This window comes from Homo sapiens, chromosome 20, assembly GCF_000001405.40.
Source record: "Homo sapiens chromosome 20, GRCh38.p14 Primary Assembly".
NCBI lineage: Eukaryota > Metazoa > Chordata > Mammalia > Primates > Hominidae > Homo > Homo sapiens.
The window spans coordinates 45106872-45124499 of NC_000020.11; the positions used below are offsets into that span (position 1 = coordinate 45106872).

The following is a 17628-nucleotide window of genomic DNA, read 5'->3' on the forward strand; positions in this document are numbered from 1 at the left end:
CTGTAATTGTTAGCTGTTGCTGCCTTTATTACTTTCAAGGGAGGAATATGGTATGGTTTAATCCTGGCTACATCATTTCTCAGCTGGGGGTCTTGGGCAAGTCACTTATCTCATAACCACTATTTCTTCACTGTCAAATGGGAATAGCCTTTCTCAGGGTTATGGGTTGGATGAATGAAATGATGTTTAAAAGTGGGAGATCTGCAGTAGACGTTCATTACAGACTAATAACCAGAATCTGAATTAGTCAAGCTCTTACTGTGATAAATCTGTGACAAACAACCCTTGAATCTCTGTGACTTCTTACCACAAATATTTTTTTCTCTTTGGCAAGTTTGAGGCTTGGCTGGTCTGGCTCAGCTTCAGGCTTGCCCCAGGTGTCTCTCCAGCAAGACAAGTGGCTCCGGGCAAGCTCTTCTCATGGCAGAGGGCAGAAGCTCTAAGAAGGGTGGAGGTCAGGTGAGGTGGCTCACACCTGTAATCCCAGCACTTTGGGAGGCTGAGGCAGGCAGATTGCCTGAGGTCAGGAGTTCAAGACCAGCCTGGCCAACATGGTGAAACCCCATCTCTACTAAAAATATAAAAATTAGCAGGGTGTGGTAGCAGGTGCCTGTAATCCCAGCTACTTGGGAGGCTGAGGCAGGAGGATCACTTGAACTCGGGAGGTGGAGGTTGCAGTGAGCCAAGATCGTGCCACTGCACTCTAGCCTGGGCAACAAGAGCGAAACTCCATCTCAAAAAAAAAAAAAAAAAAGAATGGTGGTGTTTTGTCTTTAAACAGGCTACACTGTCACTGCCACCCACATCCCATTAGCTAAAACAGGTCTCCTCGCCCAGCCCAAGTCACTGGGGCAGGCTGTACACTCTCCCTGAGGGAAGCCACTGTAAGCATGGGGTGGGGAGGGGAAAGGGACAATTGTAGGCAAATAATCCAATCTACAATATTACCTGTGTTAACTATCTGAAGCTATATGTATATGGGGAAACTGAGGCCCAGAAAGAGGAACAGAAATATCCAAGTTTGCTCAGAGTCAGTGACTCCCAGATAGTTCTCCTTCCCCTCTCCAAGACCTCAGTCTATATCCATGTAGTTAGCATTTGGTACTTTTGAGTCAACCGTTCAAGCATTTGAATCCCATGGTAAGAACAAGGAGGGTGAGGAAGTAGAATCCCTTCCATCTTCCGATGGGGCAAACAGAAGCCCAGAGTGCAGAAGGATGACCTGTCATCATACTGCAAGGTCAAGAGAACAGGGAAAGAAGACCAAGGATTCCCAAGTGTACCTCCACAGTGGACCGCCCAGTCCCTCAGTCTTGTGCTGGACACAAGAGGCCCAGCAGATAGAGCAGGGAATTTGCCACCTCCTTCCTGGGAGGAAAGTGGGAGAGTCAGGAATCCAGCTGTCTGGGTCCAGGGATATCCCTTGGGATGACTGTCATTCCCTCATTGACCCCTTCTCCCCGCAAGAAACACTTGTTAAACCCTGACTGCATACTGGACCCAGGAGAAACTGAGGTGAGTGAGGTGGAGAGAGAGCCATCACAATAATGACATCCCGACGACTTGAGCAACATTTCCCCAAATTTTGGGCAATTTGAAGTGATCTTAGTATGTACCTGGATGCAGTGTCACATAACATGGACTCCTGGAGGGAGAAAGTCATTCCCTTCTCAATTCTTCTGATTACCTCAGGGAGAAAGTCTCAGCTTAGACATTTGCATCTTTTATTTATTTATTTATTTATTTTATTTTTTTATTTTTATTTTTTTTTGAGACGGAGTCTCGCTGTGTCACCCAGGCTGGGGGGCAATGGTGCGATCTCCGCTCACTGCAAGCTCCACCTCCTGGGTTCACGACATTCTCCTGCCTTAGCCTCCCGAGTAGCTGGGACTACAGGCGCCCGCCATCACGCCCAGTTAATTTTTTGTATTTTTAGTAGAGACAGGGTTTCACCGTGTTAGCCAGGATGGTCTCCATCTCCTGACCTCGTGATCCGCCTGCCTCAGCCTCCCAAAGTGCTGGTATGACAGGCGTGAGCCACCGTGCCCGGCCGATGTTTGCATCTGTAACCCTTTAAAATCTTCATTGATTAAAACATAGACTGGCCGTGCACGGTGGCTCACATATGTAATCCCAGCACTTTGGGAGGCTGAGGCAGGTGGATCACTTGAGGCCAGTAGCTTGAGACCAGCCTGGCCAACATGGTGAAAACCTGTCTCTACTAAAAATACAAAAATTAGCCAGGCATGGTGGTGGGCACCTATAGTCTCAACTACTTGGGAGGCTGAGGCAGAAGAATCGCTTGAACCCGGGAGACGGAGGTTGCAGTGAACCAAGATCGTGCCACTGCACTCCAGCCTGGGCAACAGGATGAGACTCTGTCTCAAAAAACAAAAAACCAAAAACATAGAGTGAGTACAGGCTTCAGGCTCAGTCTTGGCAGGTGGCTGTAGCTAGCTAGAGTTTAATAACACTATTTAATATCATTTAATCTGACATGATTTACTTTAATGGAACTGAGCTGTTTCCATTGCATTTGTTTTCATAATTCCATTTGTGGTAATTGATCTCATTTATAGTAGTGATATCAATTTTCTTTTGAAATGAATTTATTTATATACAAAAGTGAGCCATTTAAAGAAAACATTAAGTAAATGGTGGTACAGGCAGCGTGCAACCTATCATGGTGCTATTTTGTAGGTATGGTGAAAATCATGAAAGAGGTGAATGACTGATGTTTGGAAAACTCTGCAAGAATATTCATTCTGGATGGTTGGGCTGCCTGAGGGAGAGGTCAGGGTCTGCCTGAATTGGGCATTTTTGGTGGAGGAAGCAGCATGTACGGATTGGTGTGAAAGCGTTAGGAAGGGTGGGAAGCTCGTATGGCAGTGGTGCAGAGTACTGGGGTGATACAGAGGCCTTCCTCCGAGCTCAGGCTATGGACTTTGACTCCCAGGAGGAGAAACCAGGGGTGGATGGGTTGCAGGGAAGTGTCAGCAGGCCAGTGATTATCAGAAGGCTGGAACCACCGCTGGTAGAGATAGTGCTGTCCAGCGGGCAGGGCCCCAGGCCTCCCATCGTGAACTCTTTCCGTTGGTCCCCAGCTTAGGTGCAGAGCCACAGATCCTAAATCAGAATTAGCCTGAGGAGGGAGAAAGAAAGGGTTAATTCCTTCCCATAATAGGGCTCTGGTTTCTGGCCTTGGTCTCCCATCCATGCCCCACCAGCTCAGCTCTGGTTGCCACCAAGGCAGGATTCCTCTGCCCCCTTCAAAAGGGCAAACAGAAGCCCAGAGCAGTTTAGGGCTGTCATCCAGGTGCCACAGCAAGCTCAAGAAGAGAACCAAGGACTCCCGGGTCCTCTGTCATCCTAGCAGGACTCCTCCAACCCCTATCCAGTTTCCTAATCCTGGCCATGGGAGGTCCTGACTTCTGGGGAGGCATCCTGTTAAGCTTGTAGCAATGAAGAAAGTATTAGAGCTGGGCTCGGAGAGGGGAGGCACCTGCCCTGGGCACCCAGGAGCCGTACCTCTGGCAGGATCCCGGCAATCCCGCCCGCAGGCGCTGTGGCAGCATCGCTTTTTGCCCGAGCAGTCTGAGTCCTTGTGACACAGGTGGTTCATGGGGCTGAGGCAGCGCAGTTGGTCCTCTGGGCAGCTGCCCAGCTTCACTGCAACACAGGGAACTGGGTGAGCTCCGTCCTTGCCCACTGGCCCTGAAGCTTGGGGCTTGGATGGTCAGCAAGGTGGAGGGGAGGCATTTACCAGAGACCCTGGGGACACACTGGCGGAAGCAAGCTCTGTAGCAGCACTTCCTGGTCAAGGGACACTGGCTGTCTTCCACGCACTGGTCAGGCACCGATAGGAGGCAGGGCCCATCATCTGGCGGGCAGCCCCCCGATTTCTCTGTAAGAGAATCTCCTAATATTGCAGCTGGAGGAAGCTCACGGTTATGTAATAAGCGCTGACCTGGGAATGACAAGACTGAATTCTCCATCCCTTGCTTTTTGCCTGTCTTTTGGCTAGTTGTTATTTTTGTTTGTTTGTTTGTTTATAATGACTCCAAGCCTCAGTTTTCTGGCTGTGAAATGGGAAGCTGGGCTAGTTTGAGACTCAGATGGCACAAATGACAGGGGAAAATGAAGCCCAACATCTCCACTGTGGCCAATAAGGCCATGCCTGGTCTGGGCCCTGCCCATCTCTCTAGCCCCATCCTCTACTGCCCTCCCACTCAGTGCCTCCTGATCTGCTCCAAGCCAGCTCTCTCTGCAGGGCTCTTGCTCGGGCCGCATCCTTTGCCTAGTGCACTTCTCCTGTACTCCATGCGCCTGGTCAGCTCATTAGGACTCAGCAGAAACATCGCATCCTCAGAAGACCCTACTTCTCTGACCCCACATTAACTAGGTCAGCGCCCCCCCACCCCGGCCCCCACACACACACTCATTTCTTTCCTCCAGAGTTTGTGATGCTGCATCTGTTTGTCTGTGTCTCTCACTTGGCTGGAGGTGAGGAGAGTAGACACCCTGCCAGCTTTGCTCACCGTTGGTCCATATCACAGCCCTTGGCGCACAGCAGTAGGGCTCAGTGACTTGGAAAGAAAGGGTTTTGAAGTGAGGCCCAGCATTGCACGTGCGTCAGCAGTGGCCAGCCTGGTGCACTGTCACAGCCACAGCTGGCCACGTCTTCTGCACCGTTGCGTTCATCACTGTTGCAAATGGCATGGTTTCGAGGATCAGGCGTTAACTCTGTCTCTGAGGCGTTCCTCTGAATGGTATAGAGTGTCCTGTCCCAGAGCTTACCTAACATTCTTCTTGCTGGGATTTTGGGCCATGTTCATATTTCATGCACAAAGCTGGAAATCAGTATCCTCCTCCATGTAGAGGAGGAAATCAAGGCCTGAAAAGGGCAGTGACTTGTCCAGACCCACATGGGCTGGGCTTAGGACTCCCAGGGCCCGGCTCCCTCTGACCTCTGTGAGTGTCCACCCTGAGCTGTCTTTGAGCTGTAGGGATGGAGCAGGTCCCAGGTCTTCAATTCAATCCAGCATCAGAGAAAATGTTCAAGAGTTCCGAGGGGCAGCTGGATCTGGTTCTGTGACTTTACCTCTGTGTCCGCCCCTCCCCCTCAGCCCCCTGCCTGGGTGCTGGCTGCACACATAAGTAGGCACCTTGCTCACATCCTACGTGCGCTAAGTCAACTTCAGCTGTCACATCGGGTTGGTTTAAATTAAATTGCTGCCCCCTGCTGGAGAAAGAGAGGCTTGGCGTGGGGAGGGGGAAAAAGTGTGGGTTTGGGGTGGTGGGGGTGATGGGAGGGTTCCTGGGAAACTGTCTGAGGTCCAAGGTTTAGCCCTGAATTCACAAGTCCAAGTCAAAGGTGCGCAGGCCTCAAAGGGTGGGCCAAACGGAGCTGCGTGCACTCAAAGCCGGTGGAGCCGGGTGGGTCAGGCAGGGAGAGCTTCTGTGGCGAGGGGCCTGGGGCTGGCCTTGGGGAATGGACAGATAGGGATGGGGCATGACAGCTGGCATTTCCAGTGGAAGAACTGCGATAGCTGCAATGTGGAGGTGGGGATAAAAGCCTGGCGTGTGCAGAGCCGGCGTGAGAGGCTCTGGGTGGTCACACTCACTCTGTTTGCCTGCCTTTCCTAACAGTCCCTCCAAACCAGGTTCTCCACTCACAGATGTGTACATCGAGACAGTCACACACACAGATGGTCATCCAGATGCATGCGCCATGGGTGTGTAGACTTAGAGAGCAAAAGAATCGTATCCAAACATGGTTAAATATATACACTTGTACACACAGACGATACACACATAGTCAAATACACAAGCACATTTAGATCTAGACACACAATTAGCTACAGGCTTAACAGTAGGAAACTGCAGATAGTCAACTGTTTTATCTACAAAAGTAGCAATTTTACATGGTTCAACTTAATACACACATATATACATATGGACATATATCAGAGAGTTATATATATGCAATATATTTATAAACATATATAAACAGGCAGTCATGTATGTACATATGAGCTGGAACATAATCACTGTCATTTACACATGCCTACCCACATAGATACATACACACAGATAGACACTCAGACACACACAGTTATGTATATAAATATATAAATATATAGCATATGTATGTGAACAGAGAGACATACATAAGCATACACAGTCATATATACAGAATCATATGCACAGAGCTACACAGACACATATATCTTCCCAATACCACATAACCACTGACAGCATTTAATTAGGCACTTGCTGTTTATCAGGGACTATGCCAGGCTCTTTGTATCAGAGACACCCAGACGTTTGAGTGAGAAGGGGGCAGAATGGGGAGCTCTTATAAACAGAGGCGGCTGGGCTTCCACAGGCAACAAACTGAGACTTCCCTTCCCTTGGCTTCGTCACCTTCCTCCATTGTCTGAAATTCTACCAACAGCTCGGCAATGTCTTACAGGAGAGAAACCAGTGGGGGACAAGGTGTGGTGAACTGGGGGAGAGACAAGCTTGTCACACCTGCCCATGCAGAGTGGCCCTGCGCAGGCTCGGTTTCTGCTGTGCCAGCTCTTTGCCTCTGAGCAGCTGGGCTGAATATTGGGGTGTGCTCCCTGGGAACACAATGACTCCCCCAAATCACCCACTTATGCTGTGCTTACTGTGTGCCAGGCCCTTATTCCTCGAGACACCATTTACTCCTGAGAGAGAGGCATGGGACCCCATTTTACAAGGAGTAAGTCTCCAGACCTGTCCTGTTGCCTTCCAGGAGTGTCCTGCCTGGAAGTCCTAATAAACTCATGCACTTGCCAATCTGGCCTTGTCTAAGTCATTCTTTGTTCTCTCAGCTCCTTCCTATGTTGGGGGTGCATTGTCCTGTACAGTCCTGGGTTTTTGCTGTAATAGTTGGTAAAGTGAATCTTTCTGATTTCAAATACTTGCACTCATGCACTTGCTAATCTGGCCTTGTCTAAGTCATTCTCTGGTCTCTCAGCTCCTTCCTATGTTGGGGGTGCATTGTCCTGTACAGTCCTGGGTTTTTGCTGTAATAGTTGGTAAGGTGAATCTTTCTGATTTCAAATACTTGCATTCAAATGCCACATTTGGCACTAACTCAGAGTCAGTCTTTGACCTTGTTAAGTGGTTCCCCGCTATGCCTCAATTTTCCTCATCTGCAAAATGGGGATGAAAATAGTCCTGTCCTCACAGCACCTTGTCGAGGAGTTACGTGATGATGGTGCATGAATCACAGCCAACACAGGGTCCAGCCTTGGAGCTCACCAGTGTACTTCCTTCCTCAGCCTGTCCCCATTACTGTCCCCTTTCTTTAAGGCAGGGCAAGGGTTGCACAGGTGAATGTAGGTTGGAGTGTTCCAGCCCCAGAAAAGGACGCAGGTGGAGGCCTCACCCAGATCAGGAGTCACCTGTCTAGCCACTCAGCAGCCCTCCCTCACCTGTCAGCAGGCCAGCCCCAGCCTTGTCAGGGGTGGGAATGGGGACAGGAGGTTGGGGGCGATGAGAGTTAGAGACAGAGCTTCCTCCCCACAAAGCCCAGATCCCAGAAGCCACACCCTCTCCTCAATTCCCAAGTCCCTTCCACAGATGGGGTGGTGGACCCACTGACCCAGTCACACCACAGCCCAGCAGGCACAGACAGGGTCCCTCCCCACACCTGAAGGCACAGAGACACACATGGACAGGCACCAAGCTCAGACACATGCGTGCAGCCATTCCTAAGTGTACGTGTGCAGACAGAGCTTTGCACAGACAAGCAGACGCAAAGACACATGTCTACACAGACACAGGCACATGCATTCCCCGCCCTGCCACCCCCTGACATATAGACAGGCACAGACAAGCACCGAGAAACTGGCAGAAAAGACACTTACAGATACCAACACAGGCAGGTGGACAGGCACAAATGTACACACATAAAAACACAGGCTTCTGAAAGCACTAAGAATCAGGCATCCACACATACACACACGCACGCACGCACACACACACGCGCACACACACCCCACAGGGCATTACCTGCCTTCCCCCAAACCCTTACTCTCCCTAGAGAAGTAGAGACAATCTGGTCCCCCCAGCAGAGGGATTTCCCGCACTCACCTCCCTTCTTCCTGCCAAAGACAGCAGGCAGCTGACTCCCCACAGCCAGGAGGGCCCCCAGGAGGAGAAGGCTCTGGGTCCTCATATTTCTGCTGCCGGCTCAGGGCCCAGGGCCCCCCAGATTAACACCTGCAGCCTCAGGGAAGCCAGAGAAACTTAGTCAGGAGAGGAAAGAGAGGGGGTGTGGAGTGACACCGTGCCTGCTTCATCTTGGCCCCACCCCCTGAGGGCCCGAGGACTCAGTGCAAGGGATGCTGTCACAATAGCTGAAGATAGGGTGGCGGCACATCCTGCATGTGGGGGACTCAGATCCAGTCTTGCCTGTATCGGTGACTTGGGCTGTGATCTTGGGCAAGTCTTGTCTCTCTGGGCTTCAGTTTTTTCATCTGTACACAGGGTGAAGGTTGTTGAGGCAGATGCTTGCTATCCTGGCTCTCAAAGATGTTGAAGCCCCAGCGATGTCTAGGCAGCGGGTAGAGGTCAGCTTTGAATAGCAAAGGAGTGGGGGTTTGCAGAGTTCTGGATGCCTAGGAAGGGAGAAGGCATTAGGGTTAGGCCAGAGCTTGCAGCCAAAGAAGGCTGGCCCAGGCTGGCATAATGAGTGAGGCCAGCCCTGGCCTCTCCTCTTGGGTCCTGTGGATGGGAGAAAGACCACCCCGCCTTTGGTGAGATCACCAGTGGCTTCTGATAGAACTGCCCTCTTCCTGGGGCTGGCTTGGCTGTTGAGGGTGGGGGAGCATGGCTTTTGGCTTGGCTAAGTTTGCTGGTCACAGCAGATGTGTGGCCACTGGAACCTCTTCTCTGGCCCTAAGGGATCCTGAGCAAAAAAATGTCATCTCATCCAGGGACCCCCACCTTAGATTTCGTATCTCTGATGTTGCCTCCTGCATTTGGTAGAAGAGAGGGAGCTGAGACTTGGCATCCTAAGGGACATCCTAAACAGAAACTCCATCGAAGTACATTCTCTCAGCCTTCTCATTTGAAAGACGAGGAAACTGTGAGATAGAGATGAGAGGGGACTGGCCCAAGGACACGCAGCTAATTCCTGACTAAGCTGGGACTTCCCACTGTGGCCTCCCCATCACCCTCATTCAGTTCCTGGGTTTTAAAAGCAGGTCAATACCTCATCTGATCCTGAGAAAGGAGGGTGATATTACAGGGCTTGTCTCACTTACCCATTCCAATCCAGGACAGCCCTGGCAGCAGGAAGTTCTTCCTTGGGTTTAATGTGAATCTCTCGTGCTGTCTTCTAAGCTATTAAGATAGGAGAGGCTCTGTCTTCTATGATCTGATGTTGCTTTTGGAATGCTGGCACCTCCTTGGAAGCTTTATTTTGGAGGACAAATATATGAGCCCTTCCTTCCTCCCTCCCTCCACCCCTCCCTCCCTCCACCCCTCCCTCCCTCTTTCTTTCTTTTTTCTTTTCTTTCTTTCTTTTTCTTTTTCTTTCTTTCCTTTTTTCATTTCTTTCTTCTTTCTTTCCTTCTTTCCTCTCTTTCTTTCCTTTCTCTTTCTTTCTTTTCTTTCTTTCTTCTTTCTTTTTCTTTCTTCTTTCTTTCCTTTTTTATTTCTTTCTTCTTTCTTTCCTTCTTTCCTCTCTTTCTTTCCTTTCTCCTTCTTTCTTTCTTTCTTTCTTTCTTTCTCTCCTTCTCCTTCTTCTTTCCTCTCTCTCTTTCTCTTTCTCTCTCTGTCTTTGACAGAATGTCGCTATGTCACCCAGGCTGGAGTGCACAGTGCCATCATGGCTCACTGAACCCTTGACCTCATGGACCCAAGTAGTCCTCCTGCCTCAGCCTCCTGAGTACCTGGGACTATAGGCATGCGCCCCAATATTTGGCTAGTTTTTATTTTTTGTAGAGATGGGGGGTCTTCCTATGTTGCCTAGGCTGGTCTCTAACTCTAGGACTCAAGTGATTCTCCCACCTTGGCCTCCCAAAGTGCTGGGATTCCAGGGGTGAGCCACTGTGCTCAGCCATGAAATGCTCTTTTTTTTTTTTTTTTTTTTTTTTTTGAGACGGAGTCTTCCTCTGTCATCCAGGCTGGAGTGCAATGGGGCAATCTCTGCTCATTGCAACCTCCGTCTCCTGGGTTCTAGCAATTCTCTGCCTCAGCCTCCCAAGTAGCTGGGACCACAGGCGCCCGCCACCATGCCTGGCTAATTTTTTGTATTTTTAGTAGAGACGGGGTTTCACCATGTTGGTCAGGCTGGTCTTAAACTCCTGAATTCAGGTGATCCACCCGCCTCGGCCTCCCAAAGTGTTGGGATTACAGGCATGAGCCACCATGCCAATGCTTTTTAAATTAAAATTATTTTGTAGACATTTTCCTGTGCTGTGAAATGTTCTCTAAACATCATGTTTTCTGATGGCTACATGCTGTTTTGTTAGATCTATATGTCAAAACATCACTTCAGTAAAGTTTTTAGGGAAAAAAGATATGCCAAAATATACACAATCAGTATCCTATTATGAAACATGGAGGTTTCCAATTTTCCACTTTCATAAATAAAGCTGTGATAACCATCTTTTTGTGTACATTTTGGAGTCACATCTCTGACTGTTTTCTTAAAGTAAATTTGTCAAAGTTAGAAATGCTAGGTCAAAAGGCACAGTCATGTTTCCAGGCGTTGGATATATCTGGTCAAATTAAATTTCAGAAAGGAAGTAAGTGAGTGTACAAGAGCCTCCACCTGCCCTGCCATAGACCTCTATTGTTTCGTCTGCCCAGCGTCTCTTCCTTTGGTGGAACCATTGCCTCCTGACTGCTGTCATTCTGGTTGGTTGCCAATCAGCAGGTACTTCTCCTATCAAAGCTGAGGGCACTGGATCCAGGTTACACCCACTGCACTCTTCTCCACCCCTAACTTGCCCACGCCTTCATTAGAGTCTTGAACAGATAAGCCAGTTCTCTAAACAGAACAGTCCAAAGCTCAGATGCTGTTGCTCACAGCCAAAGATCCTTAGTGGATATTCTTACTACATACAGGATATTAAAAAAATAAGTAAATAAAATCTTTGCTAACGGAAAACAATATTTCATTTTAATTTGTCTTCCTCTTCCTCTTAATACCCATGATGGTGAGCATTTCTTCATATTCGCATACTGACTGTATCCTTTCTCTGTGAATTGCCTGTTTTTGTATTTTGCTCATTTTTATTGGGGGTCCTTTTATTTTTGAGTTTTAAGAGCTGTTTATATATTAAGAATCTATTAACCTGTCATACACAAGGGGCAGTAGTGAACAGATGTATATTGGAGTTAGGCAGACCTAGTTTTGAATCTTGGTGCCATAGGCTCTATCTGTTTGACATTAATTTTGTAAAACCCCTGTTTATTTTTGTATACCAGTAGAGATAGAGATAATCATATACGTGTTATAGGATGGTTCTGAGAACTGAATGAGATAAACTTGATAAATGCTTTGATGCTATATTGCAAATATTTCTTTCCTCATTTTTGCTTAGTACCAAAGGATTAAATTTTGGGGTAATCAATTCAATCTTTTCATTCATATTTTCTCCTTTTATTTTTATGCTAAAAAGGCTTTTTGACTCTGATGTTAGATAAATATTCACTATATTTACTTGTTATTATTTTGTGATTTTTGAAAGACATGATAATTCTTTAATCTAGCTGAAGTTTATCTTGGTATAGAGCGTGAAATAGGAAATATCTTTTTTTTGTAAGTAATTAAGCAATTGTCCTATGATCATTTAGTGAATAATTTAAACTTTTGCCATTGATTAAGAATTAAAACTTTATCAATAACTTAAGTCTTATTGTAACAGGGGCTGTTTATGGGTTTTCATTTTTTTTCTTTTCCTTTTTTTTTTTTGAGATGGAGTCTCGCTCTGTCACCCAGGTTGGAGTGCAGTGGCATGATCTTGACTCACTGCAACCTCCACCTCTCGGGTTCAAGCAATTCTCCTGCCTCAGCCTCCTGAGTAGCTGGGATTACAGGCACATGCCACTACACCCAGCTAATTTTTGTATTTTTAGTAGAGACAGGGTTTCACCATGTTGGTCAAGCTCCTCTCAATCTCCTGACCTTGTGATCTGCCCGCTTCAGCCTCACAAAGTGCTGGGATTACAGACGTGAGCCACCGTGCCTTGCCCGTTCTTTTCTTTTGACTGTTTATTCTTATGCCAGCACAGACAAGCATGTATTGTGGGTTCAGTTCCTGACCACTGAAATAAAGAGAATATTGCAATAATATTTGGTTAGTTTTTATTTTTTGTAGAGATGCGGGGGGCGGGGGCCTTCCTATGTTGCCCAGGCTGGTCTCTAACTCCTGGACTCAAGTGATTCTCCCACCTTGGCCTCCCAAAATGCTGGGATTAAAGTGAGCCATGTGGATTTTTTGGTTTCCCAGTGTATCTAAAAGTTATGTTTGCACTATAGTGTAGTCTATTAAGTGCAAAATAGCATTTGTCTAAAATAAGTATGTACCTTAATTTAAAAATACTTTATTGCTAAAATATGCTAATAATCATGTAAGCCTTCAGTGAGTCATCATCATCTTTCTGCTGGCGGAGGGTCTTACCTTGATGTTGAGGCTGCTGAATGATCAGGGTAGTGGTTTCTGAAGGATAGGTTGACTGTGGCAATTTTAAAAAATCAGACAACTATGAAGTTTGCTGCATCCATGGACTCTTCCTTTTTTTCAACTTTCATTTTAGAATTAGGGGGTACATGTGCAGGTGTGATACAAAGGTATATTGTGAAAGATTTCTCTGTCACATATTGTGAAATACTATCAAACATGCAATGCTGTTTGATAATATTTTATACACTGTACATCCTCTTTCAAAATCAGAGTCATGGCATGGTGCAGTGGCTCATGCCTATAATCCCAGAGCTTTGGGAAGCCAAGGCAGGAGTATCACTTGAGCCCAAGAGTTTGAGACCAGCCTGGGCAATACAGTGAGGCTCTACCTTTACAAAAAATTAAAAAATTAGCTGGATGGTGGTGCATGCCTATATCCTACCCCCTCGGAAGGCTGAGGTAAGAGGATTGTTTGAGCTCAAGAGTTCAAGGTTACAGTAAGCTGTGATCATGCCACTGCACTCCAGTCTGGGCAACAGAGCAAGACCCTGTCTCTGAAAACAACAACAACAACAAACAGTTGGAATCAATTCTCTCAAACCCTGCTGTGTTATCGACTAAGTTTACATAATACTTTAAATTCTTGGTTTTGTCATTTCAGCAATGTTCACAGCATCTTTACTAGGGGTAGATTCTATCTCTCAAAACTACTTTCTTTGCCCATCCGTAAGAGGCAACACCTCATCCATTCAAGTTTTATCATAAGATTGTAGCAATTCAGTCACATCTTCAGGCTCCACTTTAATTCTAGTTCTTTTGCTATTTCCACCACATCTGCAGTGACGACTTCCTCAACTGAAGTCTTGAACCCCTCAAAGTCATTCATGAGGGTTGAAATCAACTTCTTCCATACTCCTATTCATGTTGATATTTTGACCTACTCCCATGAATCATGAATGTTCTTAATAGCAGTTAGACTGTGAGCCCTTTCCAGAAGGTTTTCAGTTTACTTTGCCCAGATCCATCAGAAGAATCACCATCTGTGGCAGCTATGAGATGTATTTCTTAAATAATGTATAGCCTTATGAGATGTATTTCTTAAATAATAAAACTTGAAAGTTAAAACTACTCCTTGATTTGCAGAATAGATGTTGTGTTAGCAGGCATGAAAATATTAATTGTCTTGTACATCTCTGTCAGAGCTCTTGGGCTATCAAATGCATTGTCAATAAGTAGAAATATTACAAAAGGAAAGTAGAAATTGTTTTTTTTTGTGAGCAGTAGGTCTTAACGGTGGGCTTAAAATATTCAGTAAACTATGCCGTAAATGGATGTGCTGTCATCCAGGCTGTGTTGTTCCACTTATAGAGCACAGGCAGAATAGATTTAGCATAATTCCTAAAGGCTCTAGGATTTTTGGAATAGTAAATGAGCATTGGCTTTAACTTAAAGTCACCAAATACACTAGTCCCTAATAAGAGAGTCAGCCTGTCCTTTGAAGCTTTGAAGCCAAGCATTGACTTCTCTCTAGCTATGAAATTCCTAAATGGCCTCTTCTTTCGATAAAAGACTGTTTCATCTACATTGAAAATCTGTTGTGTAGCGTAGCCACCTTCCTCAATTATCTTGTGTAGATCTTCTGGAGAACTTGCTGCAGCTTCTCCATCAGCACTTGCTGCTTTACTTTACACTTTTATGTTATGGAGATGGCTTCTTTCCTTAAATCTTGTGAACCGACCTCTGCTATCTTCAAACTTTTCTTACGCAGCTTCCTCACCTCTCAGCTTTCATAGAATTGAAAAAAGTTAGGGCCTTGCTCTGGATTAGGCTTTGGCTAAGGGGATGCTGTGGCTGTTTTGATTTTTTTATCCAAACCACTAACATTTTCTCCATATTAACAATAAGTCTGTTTCACTTACCATTTGTGTGTTTGCTGGAGTAGCTGTTTTAATTGCCTTCAATAACTTTTCCTTTGCATTCATAACTTGGCTAACTGGTAAAAGAGGCCTAGCTTTGGACCTTTCTTGGTTTTCAAACATGCCTTCCTCACTAAGGTTAATCATTTCTAGCTTTTTTTGATTTAAAGTGAGAGACATGACTCTTCTTTTCACTTAAACACTTAAAGGCCACTGTAAGATGATTAATTGGCCTCATTTCAGCATTGTTGTGTTCCAAGGGAGAGAAACAGAGAATGGCCGGTTGGGGGAGAAATCAGAACATATGTGACATTTATCGATCAAATTCACTGTCTTATGTGGGCACAGTTTATGGCACCCTGAGACAATTAGGAAAGTATCATCAAAGATCACTGATCACAGACCAACATAACAGATGTAATGATAATGAAAAAAATTGAAATATTGTGAATATTACCAAAATGTGACACAAAGACACATAGTGAGCACATGCTATAGGAAACATGCAGCCAATGTACTTGCTTGGTGCAGGGTTGCCACAAACCTTCAATTTGTAAAAAATGCAATGACTGCAAAGCACAATAAAACAAGGTATGCTTGTATTGTGGCTGTAATTGTTGTAGCTCCATAATATGTTTTAGTGACTGGTGGTATCCATTACCCTTCATTAGTCTACATTTTCAATTTTCCAGGTTACAAGTATTTTATTGTTCCATGTGAACCTAATGATCATTTTGTTAAGTTGCAAAAACAAACCCTTGTTTTTATCATAAAATGTTTTCAAAAATGCACAAAAGAACAGCAAATACTTTTATGGAGCCTACATACCCATCATCCAGATTCAACAATGAACCATTTTACAAGAATTCCTTCATGCATATCCCCACCCCTTTTTTGGCTGAAGTATTTTAAAGTAAATCCAACCGATCTTATACTTTACCTTTAAATACTTCAGTGTGCATCTCTAAAAACTAAGGACACTTTCTCACATAATGACAATCCTACTGTTACACCTAAGAAAATTAACTGCAGTTTCTTAACATCATCTAATATTCTATTTGCATCTTGTTTTTCTTATTGTCTCAAAAGTGACTCTATGGTTGTTGGTGCACATATTGCATTGGCTGTAATGTATCTGAAGTTTCTTTTAATCTAGAACAATCTCTCCAACTCTTTTTTATTCTCCTTTCCTCCCTCCTTCTTCTTCTTCATGCTATTGACTTGTTGAACAAAACAGACAAATTGTTCTTTAGAATGTCCCATGTTGCTTCCCTGTGATGTCTTTCATCTTCTTTGTCCTTCACATTTCCCATAGATGAATGCTAGCTGTAGAGGCTTGGTGAGGTTCATGCTCAACTGTCTTGGCAGGAGCCCTTCTTGAATGATGCTGTGTGTTTTGTGTTGCATCACCTCAGGAGGAACGGAGGTCCGCTTTACCCATTTTTAGCATTGTGGAGACAGATTAATGTGTTTTCGGTGTGTACCTGAATCCTCAAGTTGTAAACTTGTGTTTTCCCTCTTACAAACTGTAAATATACCACAGGGTGATGAAATGGCACCCTGTAAATATTCAGAAGCCATGGATAATCATTGCCAGAATCAATTATTTCATTAGGGTTTGCAAAACCCAGTGGGTTTTAATTTTAATTATATTTCAGGTATAAATTATGCTGACCAAGGTGAACACTTTGAGGAGGCTTCCTGCTTGGGGAAGAGCATATCTTTTAAAAAACATTTATTTATTTATTCTGTAGAAAAGTTTAGTCTATTTATCCAGATCTTTTAAAATGTCATTTAATAAAGTTTTAGGGTTTCCTTTCAGAAAATTTCTGTACATCTCTAGATTTATTTGTAGGTATTTTATATTTTATTCACTTTGATAATGTTGAATAGGATTTTTTTTTTTTACTATTAGGTTGTCTTAGCAGGTTTGGGCTGCTATAACAAATTACCATAGACTGGGTGGATTATAAACAGCAAATATTTATTTCTTACAGTTCTAGAGGCTGGGAAGTCCAAGATCAAGGCACCAGCAGATTCAGCATCTGGTGAGGACCAGTTTCTCTTCTCTGACAGTGCCTTCTAGCTGTGATCACACATTGCAGAAGGGCAAGGCAGCTCTTTGGGGTCTCTTATAAGGGCACTGGTTTCATTCATGAGGGGTCCATTCATGAGCATTAGGGAGGAGCACCAGGTAGAGAGGGAAAGTACCGTCCCTGGGGTCTGGACTTTTTGTGACTCTTCCCTCTTTTTGGGGAAAAGGACTTCAAGCTCAGGTTTTCTTTGGTGGGGTTGGGTATTGCTTCTTCCATATTCCAAGTCTCAGGACCCTCAGGGGCAGGTGCCAAGTGAGAGTGACCCCCAGAGGTAGAAAGGACCCAGCATCATTTCTGAGGACACCTGGTAGAGGAGGAGCCTGGACACTTGGCCTCCCATCCTGGCTCAGGGTATGGCCTTGACACATCTTCATCCTTGTTTCCTCCTTTGGACAATGGAGATGTTCAGACTAGGTGGTCTCTGAGGGCCCTGCCAGCTTTAGCCATCCCTCCCCACACCAGCTAAAGGGACTAATTCCTCCGAACTTTCATGGGTCAGATAGAGGCAGGGAAGGGACAGCCCCAGCCCTGGGAGGCAGGTCTCCTTACCTTCTTCCAGTTCCTTCACAGGAATCACACACTTGAAGCCACAGTGCAGGTAACAACACTTCCTTTCCCCCAGACAGTCCTGGTCTGTGTGACACTGGGGAGGATCGGACTTGAAGCAGCGTACGTTGTCAGCTGGGCAAACCCCTGCTTTCTCTATACCTAGTGGAGGAAGCCACAAGGTGATATGAGAACTCCAGCCCCAGAGGGCCCCTCAGGACCTCTCCCCAGCCCAGCCCCACCCAGCTCCACCATGTCTGCTCACCCTCTTTAACTCCTTCCACAGCCACCAGGGTCACAAGAACGAGAGACACCATGAGGACCAAGAAGCTGCTGGACCCCATGTTGCCAGGCAGGTGCTTGGCTGGGAGCTGGGCTGAGCCTGGCTTTATAGTG

The 17628-nt window shown here is 45.8% G+C and overlaps 2 protein-coding genes across 5 annotated transcripts, besides 2 other annotated features; both read right to left on the minus strand.

Moving 5' to 3' along the window:
- Nucleotides 1-2591: 2591 nt before the first annotated feature.
- WFDC5 (WAP four-disulfide core domain 5) lies at nt 2592-9448 on the minus strand. 4 transcript variants are annotated; one of them, NM_001395506.1, is made up of 6 exons: nt 9303-9448; nt 8449-8654; nt 8128-8256; nt 3764-3904; nt 3529-3669; nt 2592-3142 (listed from the first exon to the last, which is right to left on the minus strand). In NM_001395506.1, the coding sequence occupies exons 3-6, from the start codon at nt 8210-8212 to the stop codon at nt 3138-3140; spliced, it is 372 nt and encodes a 123-aa protein (NP_001382435.1). In that variant the 5' UTR covers nt 8213-8256; nt 8449-8654; nt 9303-9448; the 3' UTR covers nt 2592-3137. The 4 variants fall into 4 exon arrangements, with proteins under 4 accessions (NP_001382435.1, XP_011526903.1, NP_663627.1 ...); XM_011528601.2 differs by having other exon boundaries at nt 8128-8654; NM_145652.4 differs by lacking the exons at nt 8449-8654; nt 9303-9448 and having other exon boundaries at nt 8128-8303.
- Nucleotides 7739-8240: an enhancer, noted in NCBI's record as "H3K4me1 hESC enhancer chr20:43743251-43743752 (GRCh37/hg19 assembly coordinates)". NCBI's record gives its function as "activates a minimal SCP1, AML or CMV promoter by ChIP-STARR-seq in primed H9 embryonic stem cells {active_cell/tissue: H9 hESC(primed)}" and the evidence as "EXISTENCE:reporter gene assay evidence [ECO:0000049][PMID:30033119]".
- Nucleotides 8241-8740: an enhancer, noted in NCBI's record as "H3K4me1 hESC enhancer chr20:43743753-43744252 (GRCh37/hg19 assembly coordinates)". NCBI's record gives its function as "activates a minimal SCP1, AML or CMV promoter by ChIP-STARR-seq in primed H9 embryonic stem cells {active_cell/tissue: H9 hESC(primed)}" and the evidence as "EXISTENCE:reporter gene assay evidence [ECO:0000049][PMID:30033119]".
- Nucleotides 9449-16553: 7105 nt separating the features above from the next.
- Nucleotides 16554-17594, minus strand: WFDC12 (WAP four-disulfide core domain 12). The gene is made up of 3 exons (NM_080869.2): nt 17498-17594; nt 17236-17394; nt 16554-17072 (listed from the first exon to the last, which is right to left on the minus strand). Exons 1-3 carry the CDS (start codon nt 17574-17576, stop codon nt 16975-16977), a joined length of 336 nt encoding a protein of 111 aa, NP_543145.1. The 5' UTR covers nt 17577-17594; the 3' UTR covers nt 16554-16974.
- Between the last annotated feature and the right edge of the window lie 34 nt (nt 17595-17628).

Excerpts from the sequence above, each read along its gene's own strand:
- WFDC5 (XM_047439930.1), bottom strand. The coding sequence starts at position 3,995 with ATGGAGAATTCAGTCTTGTCATTCCCAGGTCAGCGCTTATTACATAAC. Across the intron at positions 3,670-3,763 it reads GTGTGTCCCCAGGGTCTCTG|TGAAGCTGGGCAGCTGCCCA; the intron begins GTAAATGCCTCC and ends CCTGTGTTGCAG.
- WFDC12 (NM_080869.2), bottom strand. The coding sequence starts at position 17,576 with ATGGGGTCCAGCAGCTTCTTGGTCCTCATGGTGTCTCTCGTTCTTGTG. Across the intron at positions 17,395-17,497 it reads TGTGGAAGGAGTTAAAGAGG|GTATAGAGAAAGCAGGGGTT; the intron begins GTGAGCAGACAT and ends TTCCTCCACTAG. Across the intron at positions 17,073-17,235 it reads TGTGAAGGAACTGGAAGAAG|GAGGAAACAAGGATGAAGAT; the intron begins GTAAGGAGACCT and ends CATTGTCCAAAG.